The sequence below is a fragment of the Homo sapiens genome, chromosome 16 (genome assembly GCF_000001405.40).
Source record: "Homo sapiens chromosome 16, GRCh38.p14 Primary Assembly".
In the NCBI taxonomy this organism is placed as follows: Eukaryota; Metazoa; Chordata; class Mammalia; order Primates; family Hominidae; genus Homo; species Homo sapiens.
In genome coordinates, this window is record NC_000016.10 from 31,309,884 (window position 1) to 31,321,989 (window position 12,106).

General features: G+C 39.7%; 1 protein-coding gene across 8 annotated transcripts in view; it reads left to right on the plus strand.

Annotated features, from left to right (window-relative positions):
- Positions 1 to 12,106, plus strand: part of ITGAM (integrin subunit alpha M) — a 72,903-nt gene that overhangs the window by 49,909 nt on the left and 10,888 nt on the right. For 6 of the 8 annotated variants that reach the window (XR_950796.1, XR_007064878.1, NM_001145808.2 and 3 more), the window contains 2 exons: positions 11,358 to 11,488; positions 11,581 to 11,744. Coding sequence is in view for 6 of the 8 variants with exons in the window: in NM_001145808.2 (NP_001139280.1) it covers positions 11,358 to 11,488; positions 11,581 to 11,744 (295 nt within the window). In the remaining 2 variants the exon portion in view is untranslated. Of the gene's footprint in view, positions 1 to 11,357; positions 11,493 to 11,580; positions 11,745 to 12,106 lie in introns of those variants that run through there. The other 2 variants (XM_011545851.3, XM_006721045.1) reach the window with 2 other exon arrangements.

The window sequence follows — 12,106 nt, forward strand, 5'->3', positions numbered from 1 at the left end:
AAGTATTTTATTTCTTCTTCACTTATGAAGCTTAGTTTGGCTGGATATGAAATTCTGGGTTGAAAATTCTTTCCTTTAAGAATGTTGAATATTGGCCCCCACTCTCTTCTGGCTTGTAGAGTTTCTGCTGAGAGAGAAAGTTCGGGTTACCCACAAAGGGAAGCCCATCAGACTAGATCAGCTGCCAGTCTGATGGGCTTCCCTTTGTGGGTAACCCAACCTTTCTCTCTGGCTGCCCTTAACATTTTTTCCTTCATTTCAACTTTGGTGAATCTGACAATTATGTGTTTTGGAGTTGCTCTTCTCGAGGAGTATCTTTGTGGCGTTCTCTGTATTTCCTGAATTTGAATGTTGGCCTGCCTTGCTAGATTGGGGAAGTTCTCCTGGATAATATCCTGCAGAGTGTTTTCCAACTTGATTCCATTCTCCCCGTCACTTTCAGGTACACCAATGAGATGTAGATTTGGTCTTTTCACATAGTCCCATATTTCTTGGAGGCTTTGTTCATTTCTTTTTATTCTTTTTTCTCTAAACTTCTCTTCACGCTTCATTTCATTCATTTCGTCTTCCATCGCTGATACCCTTTCTTCCAGTTGATCGCGTCAGTTACTGAGGCTTGTGCATTCGTCACGTAGTTCTCGTGCCGTGGTTTTCAGCTCCATCAGGTCCTTTAAGGACTTCTCCGCATTGATTATTCTAGTTATCCATTCGTCTAATTTTTTTTCAAAGTTTTTAACTTCTTTGCCATTGGTTTGAACTTCCTCCTTTAGCTCAGAGTAGTTTGATCTTCTGAAGCCTTCCTCTCTCAACTCGTCAAAGTGATTCTCCGTCCAGCTTTGTTCCGTTGCTGGTGAGGAGCTGCGTTCCTTTGTAGGAGGAGAGGCGCTCTGATTTTTAGAGTTTCCGGTTTTTCTGCTCTGTTTTTTCCCCATCTTTGTGGTTTTATCTACCTTTGGTCTTTGATGATGGTGACGTACAGATGGGTTTTTGGTGTGGATGTCCTTTCTGTTGTTAGTTTTCCTTCTAACAGTCAGGACCTTCAGCTGCTGGAGATATAGACCAATGGAACAGAACTGAGCACTCAGAAATAGTGCCGCATATCTACAACTATCTGATCTTTGACAAACCTGACAAAAAGAAGAAATGGGGAAAGGATTCCCTATTTAATAAATGGTGCTGGGAAAACTGGCTGGCCATATGTAGAAAGCTGAAACTGGATCCCTTCCTTACACCGTATACAAAAATTAATTCAAGATGGATTAAAGACTTACATGTTAGTCCTAAAACCATAAAAACCCTAGAAGAAAACCTAGGCAATACCATTGAGGACATAGGCATGGGCAAGGACTTCATGTCTAAAACATCGAAAGCAATGGCAACAAAAGCCAAAATTGACAAATGGGATCTAATTAAACTAAAGAGCTGCTGCACAGCAAAAGAAACTACCATCAGAGTGAACAGGCAACCTACTGAATGGGAGAAAATTTTTGCAACCTACTCATCTGACAAAGGGGTAATATCCAGAATCTACAATGAACTCAAACAAATTTACAAGAAAAAAACAAACAACCCCATCAAAAAGTGGGTGAAGGATATGAACAGACACTTCTCAAAAGAAGACATTTATGCAGCCAAAAGACACATGAAAAAATGCTCATCATTACTGGCCATCAGAGAAATGCAAATCAAAACCACAATGAGATACCATCTCACACCAGTTAGAATGGCAATCATTAAAAAGTCAGGAAACAGCAGGTGTTGGAGAGGATGTGGAGAAATAGGAACACTTTTACACTGTTGGTGGGACTGTAAACTAGTTCAACCATTGTGGAAGTCAGTGTGGTGATTCCTCAGGGATCTAGAACTGGAAATACCATCTGACCCAGCCATCCCATTACTGGGTATATACCCAAAGGATTATACATCATGCTGCTATAAAGGCACATGCATACAAGTGTTTATTGCGGCACTATTCACAATAGCAAAGACTTGGAACCAACCCAAATGTTCAACAATGATAGACTGGATTAAGAAAGTGTGGCACATATACACCATGGAACACTACGCAGCCATAAAAAAGGATGAGTTCATGTCCTTTGTAGGGACATGGATGAAGCTGGAAACCATCATTCTCAGCAAACTATCGCAAGGACAAAAAACCAAACACTGCATGTTCTCACTCATAGGTGGGAATTGAACAATGAGAACACATGGACACAGGAAGGGGAACATCACACACCAGGGACTGTTGTGGGGTGGGGGGAGGGGGGAGGGATAGCATTAGGAGATATACCTAATGCTAAATGACGAGTTAATGGGTGCAGCACACCAACATGGCACATGTATACATATGTAACAAACCTGCACGTTGTGCATGTGTACCCTAAAACTTAAAGTATTATAATAATAAAAAAGAAAAAGAAAAGAAATCCAATGAATCAATTAATGCTATCAACAAAGAACATGCAAGAATGTAACATTACATGTAATTTTTGTTTTCAAAAAAGACACTAAAATGCCACTGCATTAAAATGTATTTATTATTTATTATTATTATTTTTGAGACAGGGTCTTGGTCTGTCATGCAGGCTGGAGTGAAGTGGTGCAATCATGGCTCACTGCAGCCTTGACCTCCCAGGCTCATGTGATCCGCCTGCCTCAGCCTCCTAAGTGTCTTTGACTGCAGGTGTATGCCACCATACCTGGCTAATATTTAAATTTCTTTTGCAGTGACAGGGTCTGTCTATGTTTCCCAGGCTGGTCTCCAACTCCTGGGCTCAAGTGATCTTCCCACCTTGGCCTCCCAAAGTGCTGGGACTACTGGTGTGAGCCACTGCACTCAGCCGGACTATAATTTATTCAGAACATCTTTAGTGTTCATTCCCAGAGATCTTGATCTGCTCAGTAATGCTTTCACAAGATCGATTATAGCCATCTTTTGCAGTGAATGCTTAGGCTGGTCCGTCCTCCTGTGGTAGTAGGGAGCAGTCTTTTTTTTTTTTTTTTTAAATCTTCATGTTTTTATTTATTTTTTCTTTTTTAAATTACACATTGGGCCAGGCACAGTGGCTCATGCCTGTAATCCCAGCACTTTGGGAGGCCGAGGCGGGCGGATCACGAGGTCAGGAGTTCAAGACCAGCCTTGCCAACATGGTGAAACCCCATCTCTACTAAAAATACAAAAATTAGCTGGGCTTGGTGGCGTGTGCCTGTAATCCCAGCTACTTGGGAGGCTGAGGCAGGAGAATTGCTTGAACCCAGGAGGCGGAGGTTGCAGTGAGCCAAGACTGCACCACTGCACGCCAGCCTGGCAACAGAGCGAGACTCCGTCTCAAAAAAAAAAATTATACGTTAAGTTCTGTGATACATGTGCAGAACATGTAGGTTTGTTACCTAGGTATACAAGTGCCATGGTGGTTTGCTGCACCCATCAACCCGTTGTCTAGGTTTTAAGCCTCACATGCATTAGGTATTTGTCCTAATGCTCTCCCTCCCCCTTGATCCCCACCCCTCAACAGGCTCCAGTGATGTTCCCCTCCCTGTGTCCATGTATTCTCATTGTTCAACTCCCACTTATGAGTGAGAGTATGTGGTGTTTGCTTTCCTGTTCCTGTGTTAGTTTGCTGAGAATGATGGTTTCCAGTTTCATCTATGTCCCTGCAAAGGACATGAACTCATTCTCTTTTATGGCTGCATAGTATTCCATGGTGTATATGTACCACATTTTCTTTATACAGTTTATCATTGATGGGCATTTAGGTTGGTTCCAAGTCTTTGCTATTGTAAATAGTGCTTCAGTAAAAATACATGTGCATGTGTCTTTATAGTAGAATGATTTATAATCCTTTGGGTATATACCCAGTAATGGGATTGCTGGGTCAAATGGTATTTCTGGTTTTAGATCCTTGAGGAATCGCCACACTGTCTTCTACAATGGTTGAACTGATTTACACTCCCACTAACAGTGTAAAAGCATTCTTATTTCTCCACATCCTCTCCAGCATCTGTTGTTTCCTGACTTTTTAATGATCATCATTTTAACTGGCATGAGATGGTATCTCATTGTGGTTTTGATTTGCATTTCTCTAATGACCAGTGATGAGCTTTTTTTTTTCATATGTTTGTTGGCCACATAAATGTCTTCTTTTGAGAAGTATCTGTTCATATCCTTTGCCCATTTTTTGATGGGGTTGTTTGTTTTTTTCTTGTAAATTTGTTTATGTTCCTTGTAGATTCTGGATATTAGACCTTTGTCAGATGGATAGATTGCAAAAATATTCTCTCATTCTGTAGGCTGCCTGTTCACTCTGATGATAGTTTCTTTTGCTGTGCAGAAGCTCTTTAGTTTAATTAGATCTCATTTGTCAATTTTGGCTTTTGTTGCAATTGCTTTTGGTGTTTTAGTAAGGAAGATTTTGCCCATGCCTATGCCCTGAATGGTACTGCCTAGGTTTTATTCTAGGGTTTTTATGGTTGTAAATTTTACATTTAAGTCTTTAATCCATCTTAAGTTAATTTTTATATAAGGTGTAAGGAAGGGATCTAGTTTCAGTTTTTTGCATATGGCTAGCCAGTTTTCCCAGAAGCATTTATTAAATAGGGAATCCTTTCCCCATTTCCTGCTTTTGTCAGGTTTGTTGAAGATCAGATGGTTGTAGATGTGTGGTGATATTTCTGAGGCCTCTGTTCTGTTTCATTTGTCTATATATCTGTTTTGGTATCAGTACCATGCTGTTTTGGTTACTGTAGCCTTGTAGTATAGTTTGAAGTCAGGTAGTGTGATGCTTCCAGCTTTGTTGTTTTGCTTAGGATTGTCTTGGCTATATGGGCTCTTTTTTGGCTGCATATGAAATTTAAAGTAGTTTTCACAAGATCAGCTACAGCCAACTTTTACAGCAAACGGTTAGGCTGTTCCTCCTGTGGTAGTAGGAGGCAGGGTTTTTTTTTTTTTTTTTTTGAGATGGAGTCTCAGTCTGTCACCCAGGCTGGAGTACAGTAGCGTGAACTGCAACCTCTGCCTCCAGGTTCAGGTGATTCTCCTGCCTCAGCCTCCTGAGTAGCTGGGATTACAGGTGCCCACCACCACACCCAGCTAATTTTTGTATTTTTAGTAGAGATGGCATTTCACCATGTTGGCCAGGCTGGTCTCAAACTCCTGATCTCAAGTGATTCACCTGCCTCAGCCTCCCAAAGTGCTGGGATTACAGGTGTGAGTCACCGAACCCGGCCCTCTTTGCCCATTTTTAAATTGGGTTATTTATTTTCTTACTATTGAGTTCTTTATGTGTTATGGATATTAACCATTTATCAGTTGTGTGGTTTGCAAATATTTTCCCCCAGTCTGTAGGTTGTCTCTTCACTCTGTTAATTATTCCTTTATTGTGCAGAAGCTTTTTAGTTTGATGCAATTCCATTTGTCTGTTTTTGTTTTTGTTGCTTGTGCTTTCAGGATCATATAAAAAAATCATTGCCCAGACCAATGTCATGAAGCTTTCCCTCTACGTTTCCTTCTAATAGTTTATAGTGTTAGATCTTACATTTAAGCCTTTAACTCACTTTTTAATTTTTTTATTTTTTAATTTAATTTTATTTTAGATGGAGTCTCTCTCTATTGCCCAGGCTGGAGTGCAGTGGCACGATCTCAGCTCACTGCAACCTCCACCTCCCGGGTCCCAGCGATTCTCCTGCCTCAGCCTCCCAAGTAGCTGGGATTACAGGCCTCCGCCACCATGCCTGGCTACTTTTTTGTATATTTAATAGAGACGGGGTTTCACCATGTTGGCCAGGCTGGTCTTGAACTCCTGATCTAAGGTAATCCACCCGCCTCAGTCTCCTAAAGTGCTGGGATTACAGGCGTGAGCCACTGCACCCGGCCCAGCACTTTTGATTTTTGTATTTGGTTTGAGATAAAGGCTCAGTTTCATTCTTTTGCCTGTGGATATCCAGTGTTCTTAACACCATTTGTTAAAAAGACTGTCCTTTCCCCATTGTATGCCCTTGGCACCTTTGTTGAAAATTAGTTGATTGTTGGCCGGGCGCGGTGGCTCATGCCTGTAATCTCAGCACTTTGGAAGGCTGAGGCGGGTGGATCATGAGGTCAGGAAATCGAGACCGTCATGGCTAACAAGGTGAAACCCCGTCTCTACTAAAAATACAAAAAATTAGCCGGGCGCGGTGGCGGGCGCCTGTAGTCCCAGCTACTCGGGAGGCTGAGGCAGGAGAATGGCGTGAACCCGGGAAGCAGAGCTTGCAGTGAGTCGAGATTGCGCCACTGCAGTCCGCAGTCCGGCCTGGGCGACAGAGCGAGACTCCGTCTCAAAAAAAAAAAAAAAAAAAAAAAAAAAAAAAAAAAAAATTAGCCAGGCATGGTGGTGGGCACCTGTAGTTCCAGCTACTCGGGAGGCTGAGGCAGGAGAATGGGGGAACCTGGGAGGAAGAGGTTGCAGTGAGCCTACATCATGCCACTGCACTCCAGCCTGGGTAACAGAGCAAGACTCCGTCTGGAAAAAAAAAAAAAAGAAAAGAAAATTAGTTGATTGTAAATGCATGGGTTCATTTCTGAGCTCTGTATTCTGTTCCATTGGTCAATGTCTCTGTTTTTATGTCAGTGTCATGCTGTTTTGCTGAGTATACCTTTGTGGTGTATTTTGATGTCAGGTAGTGTGATACCTCTACCTTTGTTGTTTATGCTCAAGATTGTCTTGGATATTTGAGGTCTTTTGTGACTTCATATTAATTTTAGTATTGTTTTTTCTATTTCTGTAAGAAATGCCATTGGGATTTTGGTAGGAATTACATTGACTCTATCGATCACTTTGAATAGTATGGACCTTTAAAAATATTCTTTCAATCCATAATATGGGATATCTTTCCATTGATTTTTGTCTTAACTTTCTTTCGTCAATGTTTTATAGTTTTAGTGTGCATATTTTTCACCTTCTTGGTTAAATTAACTTGTAAGCATTTTATTTTTTGATGCCATTGTAAATAGGATTAATTTCTTTTTCAGATAGTTTGTTGTTAGTGTATAGAAACAAATAATTTTTGTATGTTCATTTTGTATTCCATGACTTTACTAAATTTGTTTATTAAATTTGATAACTTTTTCGTAGAGTATTTATAACAAGTTTCTTATATATAAGATCATGTCAATTGCAAACAGGGACAATTTTTTTTTCTTTATTTCTAACTTGAATGCATTTCTTATCTTTTTCTTGCCCAATTGCTCTGGCTAGGACTTTCAGTACTGTGTTGAAATAGAAGTGGTGAGTGTGGGCATCCTTGCCTTGTTCCTAATTTTAGTGGTAAAATCAAATTTTCACCACTGGGTATGATGTTAACTAGACACTTTTTTTAATGTTCTTTATCATGTTGATGTAATTTCCCTGTATTTCTAGTTTGTTGAGGGTTTTTAATCATGAGTGGCTATTCCTGTGGCCTGAATGTTTGTGTCCTCCCCAGATTCATATGTTGAAGCCTAATTCCTTGTGTGATGGTATTTGTAGATGGGACCTTTGGAAGGTGTTTAGGTCATGAGAGTGTGGCCATCATTAATAGGATTAGTGCCCTTAGACAAAAGCAAAATGATGGTTGCCTATGAACCAGAAAATAGGCTCTCACCAGATATTGAATCTGCTTGCACCTTGATTTTGGATGTCACAAGTCTTCAGAACTATGAGAAATAAATTTCTATTGCTTATAACCCATCCAGTCTATGTTATTTGTTATACCAAATAAGCTAAGACAGATGTTTAGTTTTATTAAATGCTTTCTTTTCTTATTGATAAGATCATGTTATTTTTATTCCTTATTCTGTTAATGTGGTGCATCACATTTATTGATTTGCATATGTTGAGCCATCCTTGCATGCCAGGAATAAAGCCCACATGGTCATGGCGTATGACCCTTTTGTGCTATTGAATTCAGTTTGCTAGTATTTTATTTAGGATTTTGGATCTATGTTCAATAGGGAAATTGGCATGTAGTGATCTTTTCTCATGGTGTGTTTGTTGGGATTTAGTGTCAGGATAGTGCTTGCCTCATACAATAAGTTTGGAAGTATTCCCTCCTCTTCAGTTTTTTGGATGAGTTTGAGAAGAATTCATATTAATTCTTATTTAAATGTTTGGTTGGTAGAATTTGCCTGAGAAGCCACCAGGTCCTGGGCTTTTCTTTGTTAGGAGGTCTTTGATTACTGATTCAATTTCCTTACTCATTATAGATCTGTTTAAACTTTCTATTGCCTTATGATTCAGGCTTGGTAGGTTGTATATTTCTAGGAATTTATCCATTCCTTCAAGGTTATCAAGTTTGTTAACATATAATTGTTCATAGTAGTCTCTTAATGATCCTTTTTATTGCTATGGCATCAGTTGTATGTTCTTTCATTTATAATTTTACTTATCTGTTGTTTCTGTTTTTTCTCCCTTTTTCCTTGGTCTACCTAAAAGCTTGTCAGTTCTTTTTTTTTTTTTTTTTGAGATGGAGTCTCACTCTGTTGCCCAGGCTGGAGTGCAGTGGCATGATCACAGCTCACTGCATTCTCCACCTCCCAGGTTCAAGTGATTCTCCTGCCTCAGGCTCCTGAGTAGCTGGCATTACAAGCACGTGCCACCACACCTGGCTGATTTTCGTATTTTTAGTAGAGACAGGGTTTCACCATGATGGCCAGGCTGGTTTTGAACTCCTCATCTCAGGTGATCCACTTGCCTCGACATCCCAAAGTGCTGGGATTGCAGGCGTGAGCCACTGCACCTGGCCAAAGCTTGTCAATTCTATCTTTTTGAAAAATCAACTTAATTTCATTGATTTTTTTCTATTCTCTATTTGATTTATTTTTCTGTAATCTTTATTATTTTCTTCCTTCTACTAACTTTAGGTTTAGTTTGTTCTTTTATTTCTCATTTCTTGAGGTGTAAAGTTAGGTTTTGTAATTGAAATTTGTCTTTTTGTTTTAAAATTAGGTGTTTATCCCGAACTTTCCTTTAGTACTGCTTTTGCTGCCTCCCATTAAGTTTGGTATATTGTGTTTTTGTTTTCATTTATCTCATGTTATTTTCTAATTTATTTTTTTATCCATTAGTTGTTCAATGGTGTATTGTTTAATTTTTACATATGTATGTTTTTTTCCAGTTTTTCTTCTGGTATTGTTTTTAGTTTCATTCCATTGTGGTTGGAAAAGATTCTTGATATAATTTAAATCATTTCAAATTTGTTAAGACTTGTTTTGTGACCTAACATGTGGTCTGTCCTGGGGAATGGTCCATGTGCACTTGAGAAGAATGTATATTCTGCAGTAGTTGGCTTGTGTATTTTGTATATGTCTGTTAAGTCCATTTGGTCCATTCTCCCTTGGGTTTTTTTTTTGTCTAGTTGTTCTATTTGCTATTGAAAGTAGGATTTTGAAGTTTCTTACTATTGAATTGCTGTCTATTTCTCCCTTCAGTTCTGTCATTATTAGCTTTATATATTCAGATGTCTGATGGGTGTGTATATAATTAATTGTTGTAACTCCTGGTGAAATGGCCATTTCATCATTATATAATATCATTATTTGTTTTTTGACTTAAAGTCTATTTTGTCTGATATTAGCATGTCATCCTGCTCTCTTTTGGTTACCATTTTAATGGAATAGCATTTTCTACTCCTTTACTTTTAGCCTATGTGTCAGTAAATACAAAGTGGGTATCTTGTAGATAGCATATAATTGGATTTTGTATTTTTATTAATTCTGCCACTCTGTTTTGAGAGTTTGCTTCTGTTTACATTTAAAGTAATTATTGATAGAGAAGGATTTACTACTGCCATTTTGTTAATTGTTTTCTGTTAGTCATGTAGGTCTTTTGTCCCTCTTTTCTTCTCTTGCTGTCTTCCTTTGTGTTTTATTGTTGTTAATTTTTGTATTAATATGCTTTCATTTTGTTCTCTTTTTGTACTTTTTTTTTTTTGAGACGGAATCTCATTCTGTCACCCAGGCTGGAGTGCAGTGGTGCGATCTCGGCTCACTGCAAGCTCCGCCTCCCGGGTTCAGGCCATTCTTCTGCCTCAGCCTCCCGAGTAGCTGGGACTACAGGTGCCCACCACCTCTCCTGGCTAATTTTTTGTATTTTTAATAGAGATGGGGTTTCACCACGTTAGCCAGGATGGTCTTGATCTCCTGACCTCGTGATCCGCCCACCTCAGCCTCCCAAAGTGCTGGGATTACAGGTGTAAGCCACGTGAGCCACCGCGTCTGACCCTTTTTTTGTGTATATAACTTCTAAAGGTATTTTCTTTGTGGTTTCCACAAAACATCTCATAATTATCATGGTCTATTTTAAGCTGATAACAACTGAACTTAAATCACATGCACTCTATACTTTTATTCCCCACTACACGTTTTACGTTATTGATTCACAATTTACAGTTATTTATATTGTGTATCCAGTAACATAATTTTAGCTATAGTTATTTTTAATATCTTTGTCTTATAACTTTTATACCATAATTAAAAGTGTCCAATTCACTTGCATTAAGGACATGACAAAATCACTTTTAAAATTTCTTTAAAATTTATTATTTGGCTGTCATTTTTTTCAATATTACTCTTGCACATACTTTAAAGAGTCAAAATAGTTCCAAAAAGCTCACTATTAAAAAACAACAATTTCCACATACACGATGGTTTTGGCTTCATTTCCCTTGCTCTTGAGGGAACCACTTTCAGCTCTTTCAATTCTCTATTTGTTCCAATTACATAATAATAATTTTGCTACTTTTTGATTTTTGTTTTACCACTGACTTCCCACCATGGAAGGTGGAGATTGATCTCTTTTTCAGTTTTCCTTTTGCCACATAGTAGCACTCTTTTACCCCCCATTCACGCCTCATGTTTATGTGATCATTTTGTTTAGATCAACATTCAGTGTTTGCATTATTCTGACTACGTAAATGAAATTCAGCTGAGCCAAATAATATACTTTTACTTTTCCCTGTATGCAGGGAAATGCAGGTAATTAATAGAAATTGGGGTTGGGCGTGGCGGCTCACACCTATAATCCTAGCACTTGAGAGGCTGACAGGGCAGAATCGCTTGAGCCCAGGAGTTCAAGACCAGCCTGGGCCACAAAGTGAGACCCCCGTTTTTATTTTAAAAGTTTTTTTAAAAAAGAAATTGTAGGTATCCTCTTGAGGTTGTGGTCTAAAGGTGAATAATTCCTTGATAAGTTCTAAGCTGTCCTAGTTCCTTGGTTAGTTGCAAGAGATGAGACTTGAGTAGAGCTTAGAGAACCTCTGTCTGGGCCATGCTGGATGACTGAGTTATACATCTCCTGTCTTTCCTACCCCTTTCTCTCTCCACACCTCTTTTTTACCCTCAGCGGATAGCAGGCTCCAAGCTCTCTCCCAGGCTCCAGTATTTTGGTCAGTCACTGAGTGGGGGCCAGGACCTCACAATGGATGGACTGGTAGACCTGACTGTAGGAGCCCAGGGGCACGTGCTGCTGCTCAGGTGAGAATGCCTTTTGGAGTCAACCGGACATTCTCCCTTGAAGGAATGTTTCCTGTTTGAAGGTCCCTGATGGTTTTCTGGTGTCCCTTTAGGTCCCAGCCAGTACTGAGAGTCAAGGCAATCATGGAGTTCAATCCCAGGGAAGTGGCAAGGAATGTATTTGAGTGTAATGATCAGGTGGTGAAAGGCAAGGAAGCCGGAGAGGTCAGAGTCTGCCTCCATGTCCAGAAGAGCACACGGGATCGGCTAAGAGAAGGTGAGGCTTGGTGGATGAGTCTCAAGAGGTTAAACGACCGAGGACATGAATGGGTGCTGCAATCCACTCTGCCCAGCCTTCTGGCTGTCCTGAACTGAGTTCTCACAGGCTCTGACAACCTTCTCCAAGCCTTACCTGAGTGAGCAGGCTATTGTCCTGCTGGGTAGGGAAGTCCAGTGGACCTCCCTAAAGAGGTGAGCATGTGGCACTTCCTTACTCACTCAGTTCTCCAGAGAACTGAAGGCCCCATGCCTGTGAACAAACTATGTTTTTGTTTTTTAATAAACGGAGAGAAAACCTATTTGGGGAGATTGAATTGATGAAGCTAAACAGAGATTTACAAAGCACTCACATACGCATTT